Source organism: Homo sapiens, chromosome 12 (assembly GCF_000001405.40).
Source record: "Homo sapiens chromosome 12, GRCh38.p14 Primary Assembly".
Classification (NCBI taxonomy): Eukaryota; Metazoa; Chordata; class Mammalia; order Primates; family Hominidae; genus Homo; species Homo sapiens.
Genome location: NC_000012.12, coordinates 71,270,977 through 71,296,809, shown reverse-complemented (window position 1 = coordinate 71,296,809; position 25,833 = coordinate 71,270,977). Strand labels below are relative to the sequence as shown.

Genomic DNA, 25,833 nt, shown 5'->3' with positions numbered 1-25,833 from the left:
ATATTTGCAGAAATTGCCAAATGTCTCTTGGGATGCAAATGGCCCCTAATTGGGAGCCAGGATTTTAGGCAACTGATGAACATAAGACACTTTATTCAGCCCTAGGATCATGTAGTTCCCTTTATCTTTCTTGAGAGCGTGAAATTGAGTTTACAGGAATTCCCATGGGTTTGTTGGGCTGGATCCCTATAACATTTAAGTAGAAATGACATTAATATTTTTGTATTGTGGACAATGTACCCATCTTAAATGAATGCAATATTCCAGTGGTCTCCTGATATAATTCTGGAGTGAGGAATAACGGTTCATTGCATTTGCATGATATTCCACTTACTACTTTTGATCCAGCACTGAATTTTGCAGGAGGAAGGAAGGAATTTTCATTAACAATAAATGCCATTTTCAATATTCTTAAGGCTCATTAAAGACAAACATTTAACTTGGGAAAATAAATGGCAGAAAAATTATGTCTACATAAAATATATGTGCTATTTGGCATGAGTGGTTCAAGAGGATTTCTCTGCTCTCCAGACACTTTAGATTTTTCCCACTTTTTTCCTTGGCAGTGCAGTGTAAAAAGGGATTCCTTGAGCCTTTTGATGACATTTTGTTGGATTATAAGACACATTGGGTTTAGATTTGTAATCTGCAAGAATTCCATCTGCATGATTCATTGGAGGCGATGCCACTGATGATGATTCCAAATGGTATAATCTTATTATTTATTGACCTGCTTTATAAGAATAAATTAAACTGAAAGGACAATTTAATCTGATTTGGGTAATTTAGTCAATTATTTTATTTCTCAGAATGGCTTGTGTGGGACAAAAAGGGGTCCACATTTTATATAGAGGCAGTTAATTTTATTTTCTTCCTGAATAAACATCCAAGATTTGTAAAGAAACCACTATCAAAGGACATTCTTAGCAGGTGAGTGCTAGAGGTAAATAGAATAATAAAATCCACAATTCTTTTAAATCAATTACTTTTTGCCTTCATACCAACCCAAGTTATTCATGTCACTGAATTTAATGAGTTGATGTTGTGCCATTTTCTAGATGCTGTGGCTTCTAGGGCAGGCTTGAGGGCAGGCTTCTGTGGGAATAAAACATGTTTCTGGTTCAACCTTGGGGGACCAATTAGGGAGATTCAGTTGGGGGCTATTGTCATGGACACTTAAGTGTCAAGGCTTTTGGTATCCATTTGTAACCATAACCATACGTTTAAAAATACGGCTATTTTCTTTGGCAGCCATCCTAACCTAATTAGGAACTAATGCAGACTTGTACATTTCTTGTAAACACATCAGCTGACCATAGGGGTCCGGCCAGGGCTAGAACGTGATTTGAGTTTGATTGAGGGGTTTATCTTTTTCTTCTTTCCTATAATGCACTTTCAGGTCTGGATTATGTTCAGCAGAACTGCTTCTCCTTTTATTTCCCAGTTTCAAATTTTAAATTGATTTACTCTCTTGTTCTTACTTTCTTGCTCTTACTCTTTTCTGGCATGGTTATTTTCTCCTTCTTTATTTTGTCCTTATTATGATGATGATGACTTTACTGTTGTTACAACTTTATCATTTAACCATTTACCTAAGGCCTAGTCTGATATCTTCCAGGCTGGAAGACACGAGGTTTAATAATGACATCAGAGATGATATTTTTTTTTTCAGTGAATGTGTATTACAAGTTTGATTTAAAAAATAACCTTTTTCTGAGAGGAGGGCTGCTTTATTTTCTGCACAGTTCTAGTGGTAGCCTGTAATTCAGATGAGCACACAGAATAAGGTGAAAGCCATAGTGAAATGGGTGCTTGCAAGTGGTCGTACAGTTTTACCAGAGATGAGTTGCAGAGGACCATGAAGTTTAGATTTTGCATGTCAACCATGGTAAGGGTATATCAACCTGGGCTCTAAAAATAGTAATGTTAATAGCTAATTTTAACTGTTTACTATGTGCCATGTTCTATGCTAAGTACTTGACATATTCTCATATAATTTTCACAACAGTCTTATGGAGATGAAAATTGTCATCACCATTTTGAGATGAAACTAAGTGTGTTTTCATATGATCACACAGATAGTAGGTCTGATTCCAAAGCTTATTTCATAAACCACCACATTTTGTCTTTCCATTAATTTGAATGTCTTTTTATTATCCTCTATAAAAAAGTATGAAAATTATATTAAATAAGATAGATATAAACAAACATTGTCTCTGGTAACTATCTACTTTGGCTAAGAAAAATCTTGTTGAGTACTGGTGTTTTCTATGCCTCATATTACTCCATGGGTGTACAAACAGCTTGTAATAAACAATAATGGGTCAATGTGGCTTTTCTTTTAAGTTTTGTTCCATTTTATCCATTAAACTTCTACCTTCAAACTATTTTTATACCATTTTTGGAAATAGAAATTCTGTTTGGCACAGAGATGAGCATACATGCAAATAATACATTTCCCTATGGCCTTTAGTTTTGAGAGTGGATTTTCAGCTAATGGGAAGTGATAAATAAGTAATGGGGCTAGAATGAGAACACAGTTAATGAACTTCAAATGGTGAATCAGATGGTGTTGCTGTTGGCTAAACGATTCTTCAGGTTTTGGCTTTTAAGATAAAAATGTTTTATGACGGAATAGAGACTTGACATGAAAGTAATAAATAAAGTCAAAATTAGAGTTTTTTGGGGGGCAGTCAAGTGGTGAGATTTACATGATGAGAATCTTTGGTACAGATAATGAAAAATCTAGTCTTGAATGCTGCCTGTGTGGCTCAGTAATGCTTGTATGAGGGACAGGTTTTTGCAAAGAGAAAGCAAGAGAGCAGAAAAAGTGTTAAGAGAAGAGAGCAGAAAAAGAGGAGATGGAAAGAGGAATGCAGGCCTGGAAGGAAGTAAGACTGATTAGATAAAAGGAGACCAATTGAAGAAAGCCATCTTCATGGTGGGAATAACTAACTGTTGTCTCAGGCAAACGTGAATGCCATAGTTTAATTTCTCTAAACACTGGTGTGGTAGAATGTATTCGGACATTAATGAATAATGTCTTAGTCCATTTGTGTTACTGTAACAAAATAATCACACACTGGGTAATTTATAAATAATAAAAATTTATTCCTCATGGTTCTGCTAGCTAGGAAGTCCAAGATTAAGGTGCTAACAATATTGGTGTCTGGTGAAGACTTCTCTCTGCTTCCAGATGGCACCATGTTGCTGCTCCTCTGGAGGAGAGGAACATTTTGTCCTCACATAGAAGAAGCAATGGAAGGGCAGAAGGGGGAAAAATGCTATGTCCTCAAATGGCAGAAGAGTAGAAGAGCCAAAAGGACCTAAGCTAGTTCACTCCAGTCCTTTAATTTTTTATATATATATATTTTATTTCAATAGCTTCCGGGGTACAAGTGATTTCTGGTTACATGGGTGCATTGTGTAATGGTGAAGTCTGAGATTTTACTGCACCCATCACCTGAGTAGTGTACATTTTACCCAATATGTAGTTGTTTGTCTGTCACTCCCCTCCCACCTTCTCCTCTTCTGAGTCTCCAGTGTCCATTATGCCACTCTATGCCTTTGAATACTTATAGCTTAGTTCCCACTTGTCAGTGAGAACATACAGTATTTGGTTTTCCCTTCCTGAGTTCCTTCACTTAGAATAATGGCCTCCAGCTGTGTGTTCAACTGTCAGTCTCTCCAATTTTGAGGGCAGCTGTTTGCCCTATGACTCCCACGTCTCTGATGAATCTGTGAAGGTTTGTGATATTTTAGTTTGTTTAGCTTTTTAGTTGTTAGGACAGAGGGCTGACTTCCAGCTTCTTACATAGCAAATGGAAAATCTGCCCCTTGGTTTTTACACATCATGATATATCTTGGAGATCTTCTATATCAAAACACTGAGGGTTTCTTAGTTTTTTTATATAATGGCATATTAATCCTTTGGTGGTATACGCTTGATATGATTTGGCTCTGTGTCCCCACTCAAATCTCACCTTGAATTGTAATAATCCCCATGTGTCATGGGAGGGACTCGGTGGGCAGTAATTGAATCATGGGGGCAGGTTTTTCCCATGCTGTTCTCATGATAGTGAGTCCATTAAACCTCTTTCCTTTATAAATTACCAAGTTTGGGGTATGTCTTTGTTAGCAGCATAAGAATGGACTAGTACAGTAAATTGGTACCAGTAGAATGGGATGCTGCTGTAGAGATACCCAAAAATGTGGAATTGGCTTTGGAACTGGGTAATAGGCAGGGGTTGGAACAGTTTGGAGGGCTCAGAAGATGATAGGAAAATGTGGGAAAGGTTGGAACTTCTTAGATACTTGGAGAGCTCAGAAGACAGAAAGATGTGAAAAAAGTTTGAAACTTCCTAGAGACTTGTTGAATGTTTTTGACCAAAATGCTGATAGTGATACGGACAATGAACTTCAGTTCGAGGCAGTCTCAGATGGAGATGATGAACGTGTTGGGAACTGGAGCAAAGGTGACTCTTGTTATGGCTTTAGCAAAGAGACTGGTGGCATTTTGCCCCTGCCCTAGAGATCTGTGGAACTTTGAAATTGAGAGAGATGATTTAGGGTATCTGGTGGAAGAAATTTCTAAGCAGCAAAGCATTCAAGAGGTGACTTGTGGACTTTTTCCAAAAGTTTGGAAAATTTGCAGCCTGATGATGTGATAGAAAAGAAAAACCCATTTTTCTGAGAAAAAAAATCAAGCCGGCTGCAGAAATTAGCATAAGTAATGAGGAACAAAGTGTTAATTTCCAAGACAAGAAAATGTCTTCAAAGCATGTCAGAGATCTTTGCAGCAGCCCCTCCCATTGCAGGCCCAGAGGCCTAGGAGGAAAAAATGGTTTAGCGGGCCAGGCCTGGGGTCCCTCTGGTTGGTGCAGCCTAAGGACTTGGTTCCCTGCATCCCATTTCAACTGTGGCTAAAAGGGGTCAAGGTATGGCTCAGACTGTGGCTTCAGAGGGTGCAAGTCCTCAGCCTTGGTAGCTTCCACATGGTGTTGATCCTGTGGGTGCACAGAAGTCAAGAATAGAAGTTTGGGAACCTCTGCCTAGATTTCAGAAGATGTATGGAAACTCCTGGATGTCCAGGCAGAAGTTTGCTGCAGGAGTGGGGTTCTCATTGAGAACCTCTGCTAGGGCAGTGCAGAAGGGAAATGTAAGGTTGGAACCCCCACATAGACTCCCAACTGAGGCACTGCCTAGTGGAGTTGTGAGAAGAGGACTACTATCGTACAGACCTAAGAATTGTAGATCCACTAACAGCTTGCATCATGCACCTGGAAAAGCCACAGATACTCAATGCCAACCCATGAAAGCAGCCAGGAGGGAGGTTGTACACTGAAAAGCCACAGGAATGGAGCTACCCAAGACCATGGGAACCCAACTCTTACATCAGTGTGACCTGGATATGAGACATGGAGTCAAAGGAGATCATTTTGGAGTTTAAGATTTGGGTGCCTCGCTGGATTTCAGACTTGCGTGGGGCCTGTAGTCCCTTCATTTTGACTAATTTCTCTCATTTGGAACAGGTGTATTTACCCAATGCTTGTACCCCCATTTTATCTAGGAAGTAACTAACTTGCTTTTGATTTTATAGTAGGTAAAGGTAGAAGGGACTTGCCTTGTCTCTGATGATACTTTGGACTGTGGACTTTTGAGTTAATGCTGAAATGAGTTAACACTTTGGGGGACTGTTGGGAAGGCATGATTGGTTTTGAAATGTGAGGGCATGAGATTTGGGAGGGACTAGGGGCAGAGAGATATGATTTGGCTCTGTGTTCCCACCCAAATATTACCTTGAATTGTGAGAATCCCCACGTGTTGTGGGAGGGACCCAGTGGGAGGTAATTGAATCATGGGGGCAGGTTTTTCCCATATTGTTCTCATGATAGTAAATAAGTCTCCTTGAAGGTATGCCCACTGTCACCACTATTATTCAGCATAGTACTGGAAGTCCTAGCTAGAGCAATCAGACAAAAGAAAGATATAAAGCACATTCAAATTGAAAAAGAAGAAGTCAGATTATCCTTATTTGCAGATGATATGATCTTATATTAGGAAAAACCTAAAGAATCCACCAAAAAATATATTAAAACTGATAAATTCAGTAAAGTTGCAGGATATGAAATCAATGTACAAGAATCAGTTGCATTTCTTTCTGTATGCCAGTAGTGAACAATGTGGAAAAAAAATAAAAAAGTAATCCCATTTACAATAGCCAACCAAGAAATTAAATACCTTGAAATTAACTTAACCAAGAAGTGAAAGATCTCTTTAATGAAAACTATCAAACACTGATGAAAGAAATCGAAGACTTCACCAAAAAATGAAAAGATATTTCATATTCATGGATTGGAAGAATCAATATTGCTAAAATGTTTAAAGTACCCAAAGCAATCCATAGATTCAATGCAATCCCTATCAAAATACCAACACAATTTTTCACAGAAATACAAAAAGAATTCCAAAATCCATATGGAACCACAAAAGACCCAGAATAGCCAAAGCTATCCTAAGCAAAAAGAATAAAATTGGAAGAATCACATTACCTGACTTCTCATTATACTACAGAAGTATTAGTATCCAAAATAGCCTGCTACTGGAATAAAAACAGACACATGGACCAATGGAACAGAATAGAGAACCCAGAAACAAACCGGTGTGTTTCTGTATACTTACTATTACTAGTGAGTTTCTTACCTTCAGGTGATTATTTATCATATCGTAAACATGCTTTCCTTTCATATTGAACACAGTCAAAGATATAAAATAATCTCCAGTAATTAGCCCCAAAGAAATGCAGATTTCTGAATTGCCTGACAAAAATTTAAAATAATAGTCTTAAGAAAGCTCAGTGAGTTACAGAACACAGATAGATAACTAAGTTAATTCAGAAAAGTGAAATATGAACAAAATCAGAATATCAACAAATAGAAATTATAAAAAAGGCCTAAAACAAATTATATCTAAAGAATATGATAAAGGAACAGAAAAATGTACTAGTGGGCTTCAACAGTAGACTTTATCAAGCAAAAGAGAGTCAATAAACTTGACAACCAGTCATTTTAAAGTATCTAGTTATAATAGCACAAGGAAAAAAAGAATGAAAAAGAGTGAAGGGAGTCTATGGGATTTATGGAACACCATCAAGTGAACCAACATTTGTTATGGGAGTCCCAAAAGAAAGAGAAAAAAACGCAGAAAAAAAGTTAACAAAATAATGGCCCAAAACTTTCCAAATCTGGTCAGAAAAATGGACATTCAGATTAAGGAAGCCTAAAGGACAAATATAGAATACTATAATATGGTAATGGTGGTGAGTAAATCACTTTTAATTCTAGCTTAAAAGTTAAAAGACGAAAGTACTAGGAATAACTATAACTACAAAAACTTGTCAATAAATATACAATATTAAAAAGTGTAAATTGTGACATCAATAATATAAGAGTGAATGTGTGAGAGGTAAAATTGTAAAGCTTTTGTAGGTGATCAAAGTCAAGTTGTTATCAGCTTAAAATATATTGTTATAACTATTAATATAACATGTTTTATGTAAGCATCATGGAAACCACAAATACCTATGGAAGACACACAAAAGAAAATGAGAAAGGAATCAAAGCATATTGCTACAAAAAAGATCAACAAATTACAAAGATATACAACAAAAGAGGAAAAGAGAGACAAAAGAAATACAAGAAAGACAGAAAAAATTTGAAAAAAATGGCAATAGTAAGTTTAACTCCATCAATAATTACTTTAAGGCCAGGAGCGGTGGCTCACACCTGTAATCCCAGCACTTTGGGAGGCCGAGGCGGGTGGATCACTTGAGGTCAGGAGTTCAAGACCAGCCTGGCCAACATGATGAAACTCCATCTCTACTAAAAATACAAAAAGTAGCCAGGTGTGGTGGCACGTGCCTGTAATCCCAGCTACTCAGGAGGCTGACAGGGGAGAGTGGCTTGAACCTAGAAGGTGGAGGTTACAGTGAGCTGAGTTCGTGCCACTGCACTCCAGCCTGGGTGACAGAGTGAGGCTTTGTCTCAAAAAAAAAAAAAAGAAAAAAATTACTTTAAATGTAAGTGGATTAAACTATCATTCAAAAAATATAAAGTAGCTGAGTGGATAAATAAAAATAACATCAAACTATATGCTGTCTACAAGAGACTCACTTTAGATTTAAGAACACACTGTAAGTGTGTTCTTAAATATTCCATGCAAATGGTGACCAAAAGAGAGCAGAGGTAGCAAGATTCATATCAGACAAAATTGACTTGAAGGCAAAACTGTCACAAAAGACAAATAAAGTCATTACACAATAGTAATGGTCAATTCACCAGAAATATATAATAATTATAAATGTATATGCACCTCAAATATCAGAGCACCCAAATATATGAAGCAACACTGACATATCTGAAGGGAGAAATAGACCACATTAAAATACTAGTAAAATACTTCAATACACCACTTTCAATAATGAGTAGAACAGAAACTTAGTAGGGAAACAATGGACTTGAACAATGTAGCAAAACTATGGAGTGCAGCAAAAGAGAGCCATTCATAGTGATAAATGCATATGTTAAAAAAGGAGAAAGATCTTAAACAATCTAGCTTTATTCCTCAATGAACTAGAAAAAGAAGAACAAAGTAAGGGAGGAAATAATAAATATTAGAATTTGAAATTGAAACTATAAATACAATGGAAAAAATCAATAAAACCAAGCGTTGGTTTTTTTTTAAAAGATCAACAAAATTTAAAAACCATTAGCTAGACTATCTGAAATAAAAATAGTGAAGATTCAAATAAATAAAATCAGAAATTAGAGAGGAGATATTACAACTGATGCCAGAGAAATAAAAGATTATCAAAGAATACTATGAACAATTATGCACCAACAAATTGGATGACCAGAAGAATTCCTAAAAATATACTATCTACCAAGAGTAAATTACGAATAGAAAAAGTGAATTGACCAATAATTAATAAGGAGACTGTTTCAGTAATAAACGCTCAACAAAGAACAGCTCAGGACCAGTTGGATTCACTGGTGACTTCTATCAAACATTTAAAAAATAATTAACACCAATTCTTCTTAAACTTTTCCAAAAAGTCAAGAAAAGGAAATGCTTCCATACTCATTTTATGAAGCCAATATTACTTTGATACCAAAGCCAGGCAAAGATATTACAGGAAAAGAAAGCTACAAGTCAAGATCCCTCATGACATAGATGTAAAAATCCTCAGTAAAGTGTAAGAAAACCAAATTCAACGGTACATTAAAAGGATCATACACCATGTCCAAGTGGGATTTATCCCTGGGATGTAAGGATAGTTCAACGTATGCTAATCAATTAATATGACATACCACATCAACAGAATGAAGCATAAAAAAACTGCAAGATAATCTCGGTAGATGTAGAAAAAGCGTTTGAAAAAAAAAACAGTGCCCTTTCATAATAAAAACTCTGAACAAACTAGGTGTAGAAGGAATTTACCTGAACACAACTAAAATTATATATGACAAACTCACCACTAACATCACACTCAAAAGGGAAAAACCAAAAGCTTTTCTTCTAAGATCACGATCAAGGCAAGGATGGCCACTCTTGCCACTTCTATTTAATATACTCTTGGAAATCCTAGGGAGAGCAATTAGGCAAGAAAAAGAAACAAAAGAGAGCCAATTTGGTAAGGAAGGAGTAATGTTTTCTCTATTTTCAGATGGCATGATGTTAAATGTAGATATCAAGACTTTGAGAAAAAATACTGTTAGAAGGCATAACAGATTTCCATTTACAAAACTATTGAAAAGAATAAAATATTTAGGAATGAATTTAACCAAGGAGGTAAAAAACTTGTACACTGAAAAGTGTATAATTTTGATAAAAAATTTTAAATAGACACAAATAAATTAAAAAATATCTCTGGTTCATGGATTGGAAGGCTTAATATTGTTAAAAATGTCCTTAATACCCAAAGCAATCTACAGATTCATTAACATTCCTATCAGAATCCCAATGGCATTTTTTACAGAATTGCAAAAACAATCCTAAAATTCAGATGATACCACAAAAGGCCATGAATAGACAAAGCAATCTTGAGCAAGAAGAACAAAGCTGAAGGTATCACACTTCCCAATTTCAATATTACAAAGCTATACAAATTAAAATGTATAGTATTAGCATAAAAACAAATATATAGACCAATGGTCTATATATACTATAGAGCTCAGAAATAAACTCATTCATAAACAGCCAGTTGATTTTCAACAAAGATGCCAAGAATAGATAATGTAGAAAGGAGTCTTTTCAACAAATGGTACAGGGAAAACTGGATATCCACATACAGAAGAATGAAGTTAGCCTTATCTTACATCACACACAAAAGTAAACCCAAAATACATTGAAGATTTAAGTGTAAGACCTTAAACTGTAAAACTGGAAGAAGACATAGGGTAAAAGCTTCATGACATAGGTTTAAGCAATGATTTCTTGCATATAACACCAAATCAGAAACAACAAAAGCAAAAATAGGCAAGTGTGATTATATCAAACTAAAAACTACACGGAAAAGGAAGCAATCAACAAAATGAAAATGCAATCTACAGAATGGAAAAAATATTTACAAAACATGTATCTTGAAAGGGGTTAATATCCAAAATATATAAGGGACTTTTATAACTCAATATAAAATAAACTAATAACCTAGTTAAAAATGAGCAAAAGACTCAAATACATATTTCTCCAAAGATTACATACAAATGACCAATAGGTATATGAAAAGATGCCCAACCTCACTAATCATCATGGAAATGCAAATCAGAACTACGATATTATCTCACACCTGTCAGGATGACTGTTTTATATAAAAAGAGCTAACAAGGGTTGGTGAGAATGTGGAGAAATGGAAACCTTTGAATACTGTTGATGGGAATGTAAAATGGTGCAGCTGCTATGGAAAATAGTATGGAGGTTCCTCAAAAAATTAAAAATAGAACCACCATATGATCCAAAAATCTCATTTCTGGGTATATGTCCAAAGTAATTAAAATCTGGATCTTGAAGAGATAGCATACTCATGTTCTTTGCAAGACTATTCACAATAGCCACAATACAGAAACAACCTAAATGTCTACTGATGGATGAATGGATAAAGAAAATGTGCTAACTACATGTAATACAATGGAATACTATTCAGCCTTAAAAAATAAGGAAATCCTGCAATATGCAACAACATGGATGACTCTGGAGGACGTTGGGCTAAATAAAATAAGTTGGTCACAGAAGGACAAATACTGCATGACTTTACTTATATGAGGTATCTAAAATAGACTCATAGAAACAGAGAGTTGAATGGTGGTTGGCAGGGGTCAGGGTAAGGGAAAATTGAGAGTTGCTGTTCAATAGGTATACTGTTTCAATTATACAAGAGGAACAAGTTCTAGAGATCTGTACAACATTGGGCATATAGTTAACAATACTGTAGTGTGCACTTACAATTTAAGAAGGTAGATCTCATGTAAAGTGTTCTTACATGAGTTGGACTGTAGATGATTCCCTACGTTCCTTCCAGCAGTAGCCAGTGGCCTCTCCCCACAGGTGCCTGGGGCCTAATGAAGCCCACCCCTACATTCCTGCACCTTCTGAGGGTTTTTGTCCACGTGGTGGAGGTCATGGAGTGGGCCAGCCTGCACCAGGGCCAAGGTGGGAAATGTACCATGCTGGCAATTCAATAAGTGAATGGGTTACGGTCCCAAGGCAGGGGTACCTGGGCCAAGTGGGGCTCGCAGATGTCAAAGGAGGAGACCAGTTCAGGCAGTGCCAGGCAGTCCTGACAGAGGGCAGACATGAACAATTAGCCAGGGACTTGGACAATCATCAGGAAGTGCCTTTATATTAGTGAATGCTTACTGTATGCAAGGCCCTTCATGTCTCTGGATCCCAGTTTGTTTTAACACTATAAAAGAAAAAATACATACATACATAAATGGATATATAAAGATGCATATATTTTCAGTTTTTAGGGAATGAAAGGCTAGTTAAGGCATAAAATATCTGAAGATAAGAGAATAAAACTAGTGACATATGAGGGGCAACTCAAGAAGAGTTTATTTTTAAATAGATTATTTGCAAGGGATAGTGCAGGAACCAGGAGCTAATAATAGCAACTCAATAGTTTACCACTCATAAGCACAAAGAACTGAGGCAGAGAGTAGTTACTGGAACTAGAAGAAACCAGAATATAGAAAGATTTATGTTGAATTGTTTTGAAAAGAGCAATTTTTTTTTGGTGAAGGAGTCTGCCAAGTCAAGACAGCCTACCAGAAGGAAGACAAGGGAATAAATACCATAACCTCCCTCTCCTCTTTTCCTCTGATTTCATGGGAGCTTACCATTGGCTGAATCCAACCAGGGCCCAGAAGGTGTGAAAGTCCTGTTGATGCAGTTGATTCAGGTTAGCCTCCCAAGGCACAGAGCAGGGTGCAGAGTATGGCAAGTAGAATGGAAGATACCCAGTATATGTATTATGTACAGCTACAGCTTTCTTTTCAAGAGATTTCCTTTTGATCTAGTGGAGAAAAGTATTCCTAAAAGACAGACATGAGAAGAGAGACATAGGTTATTTATCTGAATGGAAATGTGTATATGTGTGTGATTATCTATCTATCTATATCTATCTATCTATCTATCTATCTATCTATCTATCTATCTATCTATCTATCTATGGCATTACCATCTAGTCTGAAACTACTTAATGATTTCTTCATTTTAGAAGTTTTCAGGTTTGTGGAGAGAGAACAGTAATGTACTATCACACAACCTAATAAATAAAATATGAAAAACAGATTGATTCCCTTAGATATTCTCCGCATTCATATATCCTTCCTCCTGTGCAGAGGTAGCCAGCATTTGGAATTGGGTGGTTATCATTCTCATTCATGTCTTTAGGATGTTACTACATATCTTTCCCTACTAAGAAAATGTATAGAATTATTTTGCATATCTTAAAACTTTATATAAATGGTATCACACTGCACGTAGTATTTTGCAACTTGATTTTTTTTCACTCAACATTTTTACTTTTTTGAGGATCTGCTAAGGTTGATACATTTAGCTCTTTCTTTTCCATTCACTTTTATTCTGTAGTATTCTATGATTTAATGATGCGAATCTACTTACTGTTTATTTAACATTAGAATCCTGTGATTTTCAGAGGGAAACAACAGACACTGGGGCCTACTTGAGGGTGGAGGGTGAAAGGCAGAGGATCAGAAAAAATACCTATTGGATTCTATGCTTAGTACCTGGGTGATGAAATAATCTGTACACCAAACCCCCATGACATGTGTTCACCTATATAATAAGCCTGCACATGTACCCCTGAACAAAAAATAACAATTAAAGGAGAAAAAAAGAATCCCATGATTTTAAAAATTGGGATTTTTATTGCATCCATTCTTTCTTTATATTAGTTCATTTCCTTATCAAGTTATATTCTTCAGTAGTGGAGATTAGAGAATCTCAGTTATTTTCTTTTTAAAAATTACTTCGGAATAGAAGAAGCCCTAGGTAAATTTTAACTTCCACTATCCTTATCTTCACTTCGTACCGCAAATGGGTTAACCTAGTGCTTGGAAGGGAACCTGGTGCAGTGTAAGTGCTAAAGAAGTGTCATCACATAGGCACGAAGACACTAGGGTTAGGAGTACAGACTGTGCAGCCTGACAATCTGGGTTTGAATTTCAACTCTGCTACTCACCAACTGTGTGACTTTGAGGAAATTACTCAGCCTTTTTGTACCTCAATTCCCTCCTTTATAAAATTGGGTTTAATAACAATCCGTATATCATAGATATTGAATATATATATATATATATATATGATATCTCATAGAGTTGTTTTGAGGATTAAATTAATAAGTGAATACAGTAGATGCAAAGAACATAGAACGTACCCAGCAAGTAGTAAGTGGTTGCTATTATTTCAGGTCCAGTGGGCTTGTTGCTCCAGACCTCATGCCTTCTGGACCCAGACATCTCTGCAATCTCGGAACTGGAATACACCACTTCTTGTCAAGGTACTAGCAAGTTGGTAAGTAACTCCTGTCAGTGGTATTTCTTTGAAACACTCATGCTGAATACCCCTGAAATATTGAATGTCCTTCTCCCACCACACCCCGCACTGAGGGTAAGCACACCTTGCTGGCATGGCTTCAGGGGCACTATACTTCTATTTCCAATTGTGGCTAGAATATCTGCATCTCTCCACCATCTCTTGTAAGGACAAAACAAATTTTCAAATACATGTTGTTTTTCTTTTTCCATGAGTCTACACTTTCATTGAAAAGGCTGCTAGGAGCTGAATTAGTGACATGACTTGAATTTTTTTAAAGTTTCGTTTTTTTCCTTTCAGCTTGAGGCTTCTTACTCATACAATCTATATTTCCTCTAACTGGAGGTGGGGGTGGGAATCTGTCCTTTGAGCATTGTTTGGTTGGAAAGCTAGTCGTTCTCACCTCATTGAGCTTTCACCAGCGAAAAGGCCAGGAGGGTCTCCTTTGTAATTGGAGCAGTTGCCTCTCCAGTTTATGCTCTCTGCTCTTGTGTCTGCTGTTCCAAGAGCCCCTCCACCTCCCTCCCCCACTTTTTTTTTTTTTGCAGTGAGCACCATTGATCTGCTGCCATCCTCACTGTCTGGATCTCTAGACCCCTAATAGCCCTCTGGACCTCTGCTCCCCTCCACCCAGGCTCAAACTCAGGCTCGAACCCAGGCTTGGACCCAGTGGTCAGACTCAGTCCCTGGAAGGCTGGCTTCCTTTTATGCTCACTCTGCCCACTTGGCCAGGCTTTGCCTCCTCTCGGGCAGTTTTTCTTTCAATATTCCACTGTTTCTTCCTCCAATCTGGTCTCTTTTAGGGAATCCTAGTCCCACAGAATCAGCACACATGCAAACCTAAGTTGCTGGACAGGTTTAAATTATTTTCCACAGTGCTCCTGAGCCTCAGATAGATCAGGGTCTCAGGACATTCCATGTCAGGGAACAGTTTGGACCACTCAGAACACACAGGAAACTTCTAGGGGGTGGCATGGCCTGACTCTTGAAGTCATCCTAAAGGATGCCTAACTTGAAGCCAGCCTAGAATACGCTACCCTACCCAAGTTAATAGCAGTTGCTTGAGTTTCTATGTGGGAGTGGCAGTCACTTTGAAAGCAGAAAGCCCAGAAACTGTAAAACTTAAAAACTGACAATTATTTGCATATTCAGATATAAATGTTTCCTGTGAAACCACCATGAACGAAATATATCAGTGATGAAAATTTTAAGAATCACTGTTACATAAAAATGCTGTTCTGTCTCTAAGTCTTGAAAATAATGTTGCAGTCCTTATGATTTATAAATATCTAAAAAGACCAACTGAACACTGTTCCTTTCATAATGTCGCATATTAACAAAGTGCAGTTATCTTTCAGTATCCGGGGGGGATTGCTTTCAGTTCCCTCCTCAGATACCAAAACCTGAGGATGCTCAAGTTCCTGATGTAAAATGGCCTAGCATTTGCATACAACCTATGCACATTCTCTTGTATAATCCAAATCATCTCTAGATTATTTATAATATCTAATACAATGCAAATGCTGTGTAAGTAGTTATTACAATTTACTGTTCAGAAAATAACAACAAGAAGAAAGTCTGTACCTGTTCAGGACAAGTGCAACTTTTTGGAATATTTGCGATCTATGGTTGGTTGATACATGGATGCAGAACCCGTAGATACAAAGGACTAATTGTATTCTTTTGTGCCACAAGCATTATTGAGACTAGTAGTGATTATTGCCAGGCATGTTCTGTGAACTAGGATTTAATGATGGACGTGACAAGGAAGCTCCTTGCTGTTATGGAGTTCAAGTTCTGGTAGTTTTAGGATTTGAGTAGATTACATTTTAGGGGATTTGGACACCTAATCATTTCACATCTATAAAAGGGGAATCTTCCTAGTGTGAAAGAATATATTATCAAGGACAACTGTCTATTTGAGGACAAAGGGCAAAAAGAATGTTCAGAATCAAATGGGAAAGTCAGGTGTGGGTATAGCTAAAATATAATATAGAAAATACTATGATAATATATGATAGCATGTAAGCAAAATACAGCTTAGAATAATGGGCATTAATCAGATTTCATGAGAAGCATTAACAACAAGCTAATAAATAGTTCAGAAAAAGACACAACACAGGCTAGATCAAACTAGAGACTTTCAGGGCTGAGAATCAAGGAGACTCTAGGAGGTAATTGCAGAAGAGTTCAGGACCTCTGAAATGTAGGAGAGAAATCTCGGATACCAGATATGATACGGTATGGCCTTCCTCCCTGTAGATCAGAGATAAAGCAGGCTGTCTCAGGGTCAATATATCTGGAGAGAGGCATTTCTAAAATAATAAAATAGCCAGGAGCCCTGGCTTATAGCTTGAGAAGCTTTGCTTTTTTGTTGGGCTTTGCTTCATTACAAAACAGAAAGAACAAGTGATTAAAGTAATTCAAATTCCGACTGAAAGTAATCATTAATAATGACAGAAATATCTTGTAATTCAAGGTTTTTTAGATAAACATTATTCAATAATTGGTAGGATTTAGAAGGATAATATAGGGTTCCTTTTCCAATTGCCAATCAAGAAAAGTATTTAGTCAAGTTGAATGAGATTATAATAGGGCAGCTAAACTCTATTCAGCTCAAGAATAAGCTCAATTTAGTTGCAAAATTACCATATCTTTTGTATATAAAGATGAAACTATTGAACCACGATAAGGAGGAAATATCTTTTGAGAGTTCCCCTAATTGCCCTGTCAAAAGTGAGATAATTAGGTTAATGCCCTGCTCTCACTCAATAGCTAACAGTGCTAGCTACCAAATATAAAACAGTGTGCAAGATATTGGCACATAGAATCATAAGATATGGTGTATGGTCTTGATCATCATAGAACTTAAAATCTTAAAGAAGGACATAAGTAAGAAAAGCAGTACTAGTTGTAATAGAGTCAAGGTTCACACTATGGCCTTGGATTGGAGATCAGCTGCAGTATCTATACACAAACCTAGAACCTTAATAGAAGAAGTGTGTGTAAGTAACTGAGGCCAGACATTTTTCCAAACTGGAAACAGGACAATTTACTGAAAATTAGTTTCCAAAAGGTCAATTTGCCAACAATTGATGAGTTATAGACAGAAGATTGTTTTTCAAAACGTTTTAATTTCACTATAGTCTTTTTGCCTTAGCCATTTTCCTAAGCTGTTATTGGTTTAACTTAAAGCTGGATGCAAATTTTATGCAAGTTTTAAAATTTGGATGACTAGTATTCCTCAAATCTTTATGCTTTATTTGTGAATGGGTGGTATGTTTCTTAAATACAGTTTATAGCCTTTTATATATTGGTGAGGTTGTCTTCACACCTGAATCTGCCCTCAAATGGTTGCAACAAAGGTTCTTACGGCCTTAGGATATTGATCTGACATTTTCCTCCAAATGGTCTATGGGTGGGTTTGCCATGTAGTGAAATGGCTTTGAATAAATTTATTTTCAGTATATTAAAACCCAGAATAGTTCAAATTAACTTAGATCACTCTAAACTATGTCTTCACTTTCTATCCCTTTAATTGAAATCTTTATATCTCTGAGTTATGAAACTAGAAACCACCTAACTTATTTTTTTACTTACATTTAACAACTTTTTCATTATCTTTCCTCCAGTATTGATGATAAATAGTAGTAAAAGCAATTCTTAATATTTTCTTAAAGCTTACCTTTTAATCTCTTCAAGGGAAAGCATCTTAGATCTAGCGTAGTCTAAACAAATACTGAATTGGTATCAGGAACTTAGATGCCAGTCCCGAATCTCTTAAGTAAATTTTTTAACTCCTTATTACTCAAATGTTTACTTCTATAAAATAGAGATAAGACATCAGCCTCTACCTTCCTTGTAAATAACATAGTAAAGTAATTTGAGGTGATAAAGTAACTACTATGATCATTTATGAAGAAAAGAGTAGATTAACTAAGCTTCATTAATAATGGTCACAAATTTAGTATGTTCTAATTTGATGTTAACCTAGCACCTCTGCTTAAGAAATGGTGCAATGTACTAGGGAAAATTAAAAAACATGGCTAAGACTTTGTTCTGACCATCAAGGAGCAGTCATTTTTGTCAGATGAATAAAATAAATAAATGCAAAGACAGAGCAGAGAACAATAAATGCTGAAAGAATAGAAATGAAATACACTGTTGATTCTAAGAAGACAAAGTAATGTGGGAGACATGACTAGAAGACTGAGAAGGTTTGAGCAGACAGAAAATGGAAAGGACATTGCGGAAAGAACTGCTTGAGCCAGGACGTGGAATTGAGAAACCATAGCTCCCATTCATAAACAGTGTGTTTAGGGGGAAATGGGAAATGATAGTGGAGATACTTTTGAGGTCATATTGTGCAGGATTTCTGCTGTATTTCATAGGTAATCAAACACTGGAGATGTAATAACAGAGATGTGAGAGAGAAAAATACAAGAATATAGATAATCTGACAGTAGTATTTGGCATGGAGTGTGAGACTGAGGGTACAGCCTGGAATGAAAGAAATTTCAAGTATTGGAAAACAGATACCTGAGGAGCAGACAGAACCTGAAGTCACTTGCCTGGTCCTAGTCAGAAGTCAAATGACTAGTCTCAGACCAGCAGTGGGCAGGGCAAAGTACAGGTACACACATACTAGCAACACTGTTACAGTAGACATACTGCAGTGTGTTCCATATTTTAAATGTAAGTGCTAAAGCACTTCAAAACAGACGGATGGCCCATGGTGGCCTTAGTCAGGAAAGGCTTCATTCACATTAGCTAAAACAATCCAGGAGAGGGGGATTTAATGCTTAAAACAGAGAACAAAGAAAAGAATAATGTCAAAGAGAACTATATTTAAGGTTGATCTGTTAGTGGGACATGAAGGCTTATTTTCCTTCAGGTCCATCCTCATACTTTCTGAGATCTAAGTATGAGATCAACATACCATACAAGGTCCCTTATAATCTGGCTCTGGCCATCTTCTTAGCTTCACCTCTCACCATTTCTCAAGATTCTTCTCTATAGCTTTGTGGAAACATGCACATTACCCAACCATTCCATCACAACCTCAGTACCTCCTTCTTTGCTTTGCCTTCTGCCTGGAGCACTTTGTCCCTCGTGTCTTTTGCCTCATTAAAGTTCTACTGGTCCTCCTGTTTCCACTCTTTCCTTCTTCCACCCTCATTTTACACTTACTTAGCAGGTTCTTCTTTTTAATTCCATGCTTCTTGCAGATTTTGTATTCTGTGTGTCTATTTTCTTGTTTTTCTTTTCTTTTTTCCCTCTAGACTATGAACTGCTGGGAGATAAGACCATCTGATTTATCCGTGTACATACAGCAGCTAGCACAGTGAGTAACACTGAATAGGTTGGATGAATGAATAAACAACCAATTCAATAGAATACCTCAAGTATTTATTTGGTAATAGTTGCCTTCTCATGATTTGTATAAGTAGTAAGCAAGATGCAAAAGAAACAACCCTTTACTTGATGAGTCAAAACAATTATCTGCACATACACATATCTAGCAATATTATTTCAGCAGATGTACAGTAATATGTTTCATATTTTAAGTGTAAATGCTAAAGGACTTCATAACAGGGATGGCCCATGGTGGCATTAGTCTGGAAAAACTTCCCATCACCTAAAGCAATCCAGGGCAGGGGGAGTTAATGCTTAAAAAAGAGAACAAAGAATAAGGTCAAGGAGAACTATTTAAGATTTATCTGCTAGTGGGACATGAGGGCTTATTTTCCTTTAGGTGCCTCCTCATATTTTCTGAGATCTAAGTCAAGAAAGGAAAGGTCAAAATGGGAAAGGGAAAGTCTATTTGAAGCCATGAATCAGACATCACAGAATTTTTTTAAGCAATGTTTTATTACCAGAAAAAGAGTCAAAAATAAATCAGCATGGGATGCCTGGAGAATATGCTATGAGAATTTTGATTATCAAATAACTAAGTATTACTCCAAGAGGCATAGTTGTAGTCATTCTTTGCCAGGGATGAAAGAGAATGATGTAAGCTTTAAGAGTAAAGTAATGTGATATATTTTGGAAGAAATAACTGGAAAAAATAGCAAGAACTTCTGGCTTGATGTTCTAGAAATACAACTAAGCAGTCCAAGATTCTATTAAAATAAAAAAGTGCATATTATAGAAATGAAAAGACAATGTTGCATGGGTAGAGAGACACTGTGATGTTTTAAGCTGCTTGAATAAAACAGAATATGGCAATGGAAATATGAAAAAGAGGGACACAAAATAGAGTTAGAAAAACCATATGTGAAAAATTCTTCTCTGGGAGCAAATAGAAGTTAATACTGATAAATGAAATCACTGTGAACCTGCCCTGATAAGTGAACTTGTGAATATTGAGGAATTTGTTAACTTGTGCTCACATGATCAGAATATTATGAAAATTGCTTTACTGCAGGAACAAAAATCTTAACCTTAAGAGAGAACATATTTATTTAGGCTTTTAACATATTTAAATAGAAAACATTAAATAAAGAGAAGATAAAAAATTAGAGTTAAACAAATTTTATCCTGCCTGTATTTTACAGAAGCAGATAAATTGTCTCTTAAAGGGAAACAAGAAGTATTTTTATTAATTAAAGAGAGTACAATCATTCAGAAGGATTGGAAAACATACGGTATGAAAAAACATTTTCAAGTATGTATATGATATCAATCTGATTCTTACTTTGTAACCACAAACCTTCTAGAAGGTACTATGTGTTTCAACATGCTTTTAAATTTTTATTTTATTTTTAGCTACTAGGATAACTAAAAGGATATTTCTATGATGCAATTCTGATGGCAACATAATTTTGGGACATGTATTTTAAGAATTATATACAGCAAGGGTAAAAATCCATGAAAATAAGATAAAATATGAAAAGAAGAGAGAGAGAGGCCAGGAGCAGTGGCTCTTGCCTGTAATCCCAGCACTTTGGGAGGCTGAGGTGGGTGGAAGACCTGAGGCCAGGAGTTCAAGACCAGCCTGGCCAACATGGTGAAACCCCATCTCTACTAAAAACACAAAAAATAGCTGGGTGTGGTGTCATGCACCTGTAGTCCCAGCTACTCGGGAGGCTGAGGCAGGAGAATTGCTTGAACCTGGGAGATGGAGGTTGTGTTGAGCTGAGATGATGCCACTGCACTCCAGCCTGGGCAACAGAGTGAGACTGTGTCTCAAAAACAAACAAACAAACAAACAAAAGGCAGGGGAGAAATAACAAGGAAAATGGACACCATAACTGTGTTCAGAAAAGCACAATGAAAGCAAGAGTGTAGCCCTGGGAAAAGCACTCTGGCTGGGCCTGAATTGCCAGAGCAAAGGCTTTAGAAAACCTGGAAGGTGGCGCTGGAATGATGGGTCAATTCTTATCTGCTATCCTGATGTGTAGACAACAGCAGGTAGTAGAAAGTTTAAACACCTTTATATTTATATTTTTTTCTATTTTTAACAATAGAAAACCACTTTCTAGGGGTAACTTAGCATAACATAATGAATTATAATAGATAAATTTTGTATTCTTTTCTCTTGTTTTTGATATATTTTTATGTCCCATGGGAACAGTGACTTTCATATAATACAAAAGTAAAATATGTTTGTTTGATATGTTTAAATTCACATATTACTTGTATCTGTAATAACAGCTAAAGCATTACTGTGTGCTTGCTCTGTGCCAGGCACCGTGGTAAATGCTTTCTATATATGAACTGATCTAATCCTCATAGCAGCTCTATGAGGATGATTCTATAACATTCATCACTTTACAAATGTGTAACAGGCAGAGAAAGAAGTAACTTACCTTAAGGTAAGTGAGTAAGTGATGGAGCCAAGATTTAGGCCCAGGCAGTTTCATTTAGAGATTTAGAGGTTATGATTTAGAGCTTCTGTTGAAGCTATATCATTTCTGCTTTTTTGAAATATCAATCTTTGATGTACCAAATGACCTGAGAAATTCTTTCCCAATAACAAAAATATGTTGGTGTATTAGGTACACATGAACAAAGGATTTACTTTTTTCATGAACCTTTTGTGTCTATTTATGTTGAAATAGCAGTAGGTCAATAGAGGACAAGCAAAAACTACTCTGGGTAGGTCTAACTTGATAGGTTAATTGGAACCCCCCCCCCCCAGAAAAAAAATCCAAACACAAGCAGCTCTGTGGCACTCATTGGCCTAAAATAATACATGTTGTATAATTATGTTAATATCAAAGTCTGGAACAGAAAACTCTGATGGTAAAAGAAATCAGAACAGCGGTTTCTTCTAAAGGATTATTATTATGGTTTTTATTGGGTTTATTCATCGCTATTCAACTTCCTACACATTTCACTATGTTTTTTGGAAGATGTTTCATATGGCTGGCAATAAATAGACAGAAGATAAGTAGACCTTTACTGGGACTAAAATAACTTTGTTAAGCCCCAACCTGAACCACTACAACTCTATCTCTATCTGTAGGAAATCATGGAATAAACACCATGATTTACTGTTTAGATCTTAGATCTTAACTCCTTAAGCCTCCTGGGGAAGTGGAAAAGGTTCTTCCTCAAGATTCTTGGGAAGCACTTTATCCTATATTTATGGCATAGCTTTTCTTAACATGAAAATTTAATTCACATTAAAAAGTCTTTGGCAGAAACATTTTCTCTTCACTAAATGATTGTATGGTACAATTCTCATTATCCTTTTAGTTTAAGAAGGACAGCCTTATGGATATGGCAAGGATAATGTTTGCTTAAGTACAGAACTCGATGTTCTTGCCCTGCCTTTCAAGGATATATACTCTTTGAAGGAATTCTATGACTGATCAAGTAGAAGACAGTTCTATCTAAATCATCTGCAAATCAATGGAGAGTGCTTATATAAAGAAGAGACAATAGTTTGAGTTTCCATTTTGAGCAGACGGAACAACTGGGTGTCTAGGTTAGCACCTTAAGTTCCTGTGAGGTTAGGGAGGTAATAAAGAACAAATATACTCAACAGTCACTGAACCTAAGAGAAACCAGAAAGAAGAGAGAGAGTCCAGGTGGAAAGGGTGGGAATGAGGAAGGTATTGCCAGTGAGAATCAAAATTGCCCACGTCTTTTTTCTGTTTTCAGGTCAGTCCTTAGAGGGTGAAGTAGGTTCTCTTTTGTCTTGTTCTTCTCATTTTTCTTATCCTAAGGATTTAATGAATTTGAATTCAATTCATTTTATAGGAATGAATTATTTTACAAAAAAAATAATGTCACGTTTCCATGCCTCAGTTATCTCACAGGCATATAAATTATTTAAAAATATTTAACAACTGGTGTTGCACAGACACTGACCAATCAGAAGAAAACACTATGACTTATGACCAATCAGAATCAGCATGAGCCACAAATAGAATGGTTATATAATTAATTGTCCAAATCAGGACATGTTTGAAAGTGAAAAGGGATACTATTAATCATTATGCCAGAAGTAAAGGCATAAACTAAGACCATCTCAAGGAAGGAGTATATAGTGTGTTCTGGTTGAATAAAATAAAAAATTTGGCTTGAGGTCTTTTTTAGATTCTGTGACATCCTAATGTGTCTATTGAACATGTTTAATTTAAAGAGTATTTGGCATATTTATCTATAACTGGCTTCTGGAGCACATTTCTGAGACAGTAGAACCCTACTGGAGTAGCCTTTAGATGTAACTATATTAAGAGTCACAACAGGGTCTAGGTTCTATTATTCTCTAGACAAATACAAAGGTATAGACGTAGATATAGCTATAGATATAAACATAGATTGGTTAGAGATACTAAAAAGATATCATTGAGTGGATTATACTAGATAATATATCTCAAGTGTTTTCTATATGCCAGCCTTTTTCGGTGTTACAGATGAGGAAACTGAGGTGTAGGATGTGAAGTGATGTGACTGTTAGGTGCATACTATATACAACTGGTATGTGATGAAGGTGGAGCATCTACATTTTAATGCTATGTGTTAGCATCCCCCAACACCTAATGCCTACCTTATTGCTAACACTCTGCTGCCCTGCTCACAGTCTTGTATGTGAGTAGAAGACAGACAAATAAATCTAATAATGATAATTACATGTAAGATTTGCTGTGACACATGTTGAGCAGAGATCACTAAATCATATGGGTAGGAGAAAGCTTCCTGGAGGAGGATGGCTCAAAGTCAATCTTTAAGGATGGTCAGAAAATAGCCAGATGCAGAGGAATCTGTGCTAAGGCACTTAGTATGAACCCTGTATGAGATATTTGGGAAATTATAAGTATTTTAGGGTAGTTGGAGATGGAGTGATGATCTTTGAGCTCAGCTAATTTAGATAACAGCATCCATACACCTTAAGGAGTCATTTCAAAAGACTTCAAGCATGGTCATGAGGTGATTATTTTTGCATTTTAGAATGATTTTTCTGGCAGTGATGTGGAGGATAGATTCGTGAGGGGCCAAGTTCATGGTAGAGAAGTCAGTTAGGAATTAGAGCAATTTAGTGGAGAATATACTACTTTGTAAATCTACCCCACTCCCCTTCCCAACTTACACAACACTAAGAGTCCTAAGTAAAGAGCAGAAGAACAAGAATGGCTCTTCAAGGAATAGGTTCCTAAGTAGAGGAGATAGTTTAGAAGCTGCAAAGTCAAGGAGATAGAAAGAGAGGGAAGGAGAGCGGGAGAGATAAAGAAAGGGGGAAATGGGGAGATACATAGGAAGAGAGAGTGACAGAGAATCCCTTTTCTTGTTTATTGCTGAATTGAATGTTAGTCCCCTCAAAATCTCATGATGAAATCTATTGGCTATTTTAACAGTATTAAGAGGTGGGACCTTTAAGAAGTGATTAGTCCATGAGGGCTCTGCCCTGATTGACAGATTTGATGCCTTAAAACAAAAGAATTTCAGGAGTGGCTTCTTTTTCTTTGATCTTCCATTTTTCTGCCATGTGAGAAACAGTGTTCCTTCCCTCCAGAGGCTGTAGAGTTCAAGGCACCAACTTAGAAACAGAGACTGGGCCCTTAGAACTACCAAATCTGCTGGTGCCATGATCTTGGACTTCCCAGCTTCCAGAACTGTATGAAATAAATTTCTGTTCTTTATAAATTACCCATCTCTGGTATTCCATTATAGCAGCATGAAATGAACTAAGGCACTTACTGCCCATTATTACATTATTTTTTCTTTTATTTCTTTCTCTTGCTTAACTCTCTGCCCCTAAAAGTACAGCTGTGTGCCACATAACAATGTTTTGGTCAAAGATGGACTGCATGTACAGTGATGGTACCATAAAATCATAATGCAGCTGAGAAAGTCCTATTGTCTAGAGACATTGTGGCCATTGCAACATCATAGTGCAACACATCACCCATGTGTTTGTGATGATGCTGGTGTAAACAAATCTACTGCACTGCCAGTCATATAAAAGTACAGCAGATGCAATTATGTGTACTTCATAGTACTTCATAATGATAATAAATGGCTATGTTATTGGTTTATGTATCTACTATACTCTTTATCATTATTTTAGAGGGTACTCCTTATACTTATAAAAAAGGTCGTTTCCCTCCCTGTGTCCATGTCTCATTGCTCAGCTCCCACTTATAAGTGAGAACATAAGGTGTTTGGTTTTCTGTTCCTGTGTTAGTTTGCTAAGGATAATGACTTCCAGCTCCATTCATGTCCCTGCAAAGACATAATCTCATTCCTTTTTATGGCTGTATAGTA

General features: G+C 36.5%; 1 long non-coding RNA gene across 2 annotated transcripts in view, besides 1 other annotated feature; it reads left to right on the top strand.

Moving 5' to 3' along the window:
- LOC105369832 (uncharacterized) overlaps nucleotides 1-19,458 on the top strand; it is a 38,018-nt gene extending 18,560 nt beyond the window's left edge. Inside the window, exons 1-3 of one of the 2 annotated variants that reach the window (XR_001749198.2) lie at nucleotides 740-930; nucleotides 13,991-14,094; nucleotides 19,398-19,458. This is a non-coding gene — a long non-coding RNA (uncharacterized LOC105369832). Of the gene's footprint in view, nucleotides 1-739; nucleotides 931-13,990; nucleotides 14,095-19,397 lie in introns of those variants that run through there. The other variant, XR_001749199.1, reaches the window with a different exon arrangement.
- Nucleotides 14,239-14,771: an enhancer, noted in NCBI's record as "NANOG hESC enhancer chr12:71675819-71676351 (GRCh37/hg19 assembly coordinates)". NCBI's record gives its function as "activates a minimal SCP1, AML or CMV promoter by ChIP-STARR-seq in primed H9 embryonic stem cells {active_cell/tissue: H9 hESC(primed)}" and the evidence as "EXISTENCE:reporter gene assay evidence [ECO:0000049][PMID:30033119]".
- Nucleotides 19,459-25,833: the final 6,375 nt, after the last annotated feature.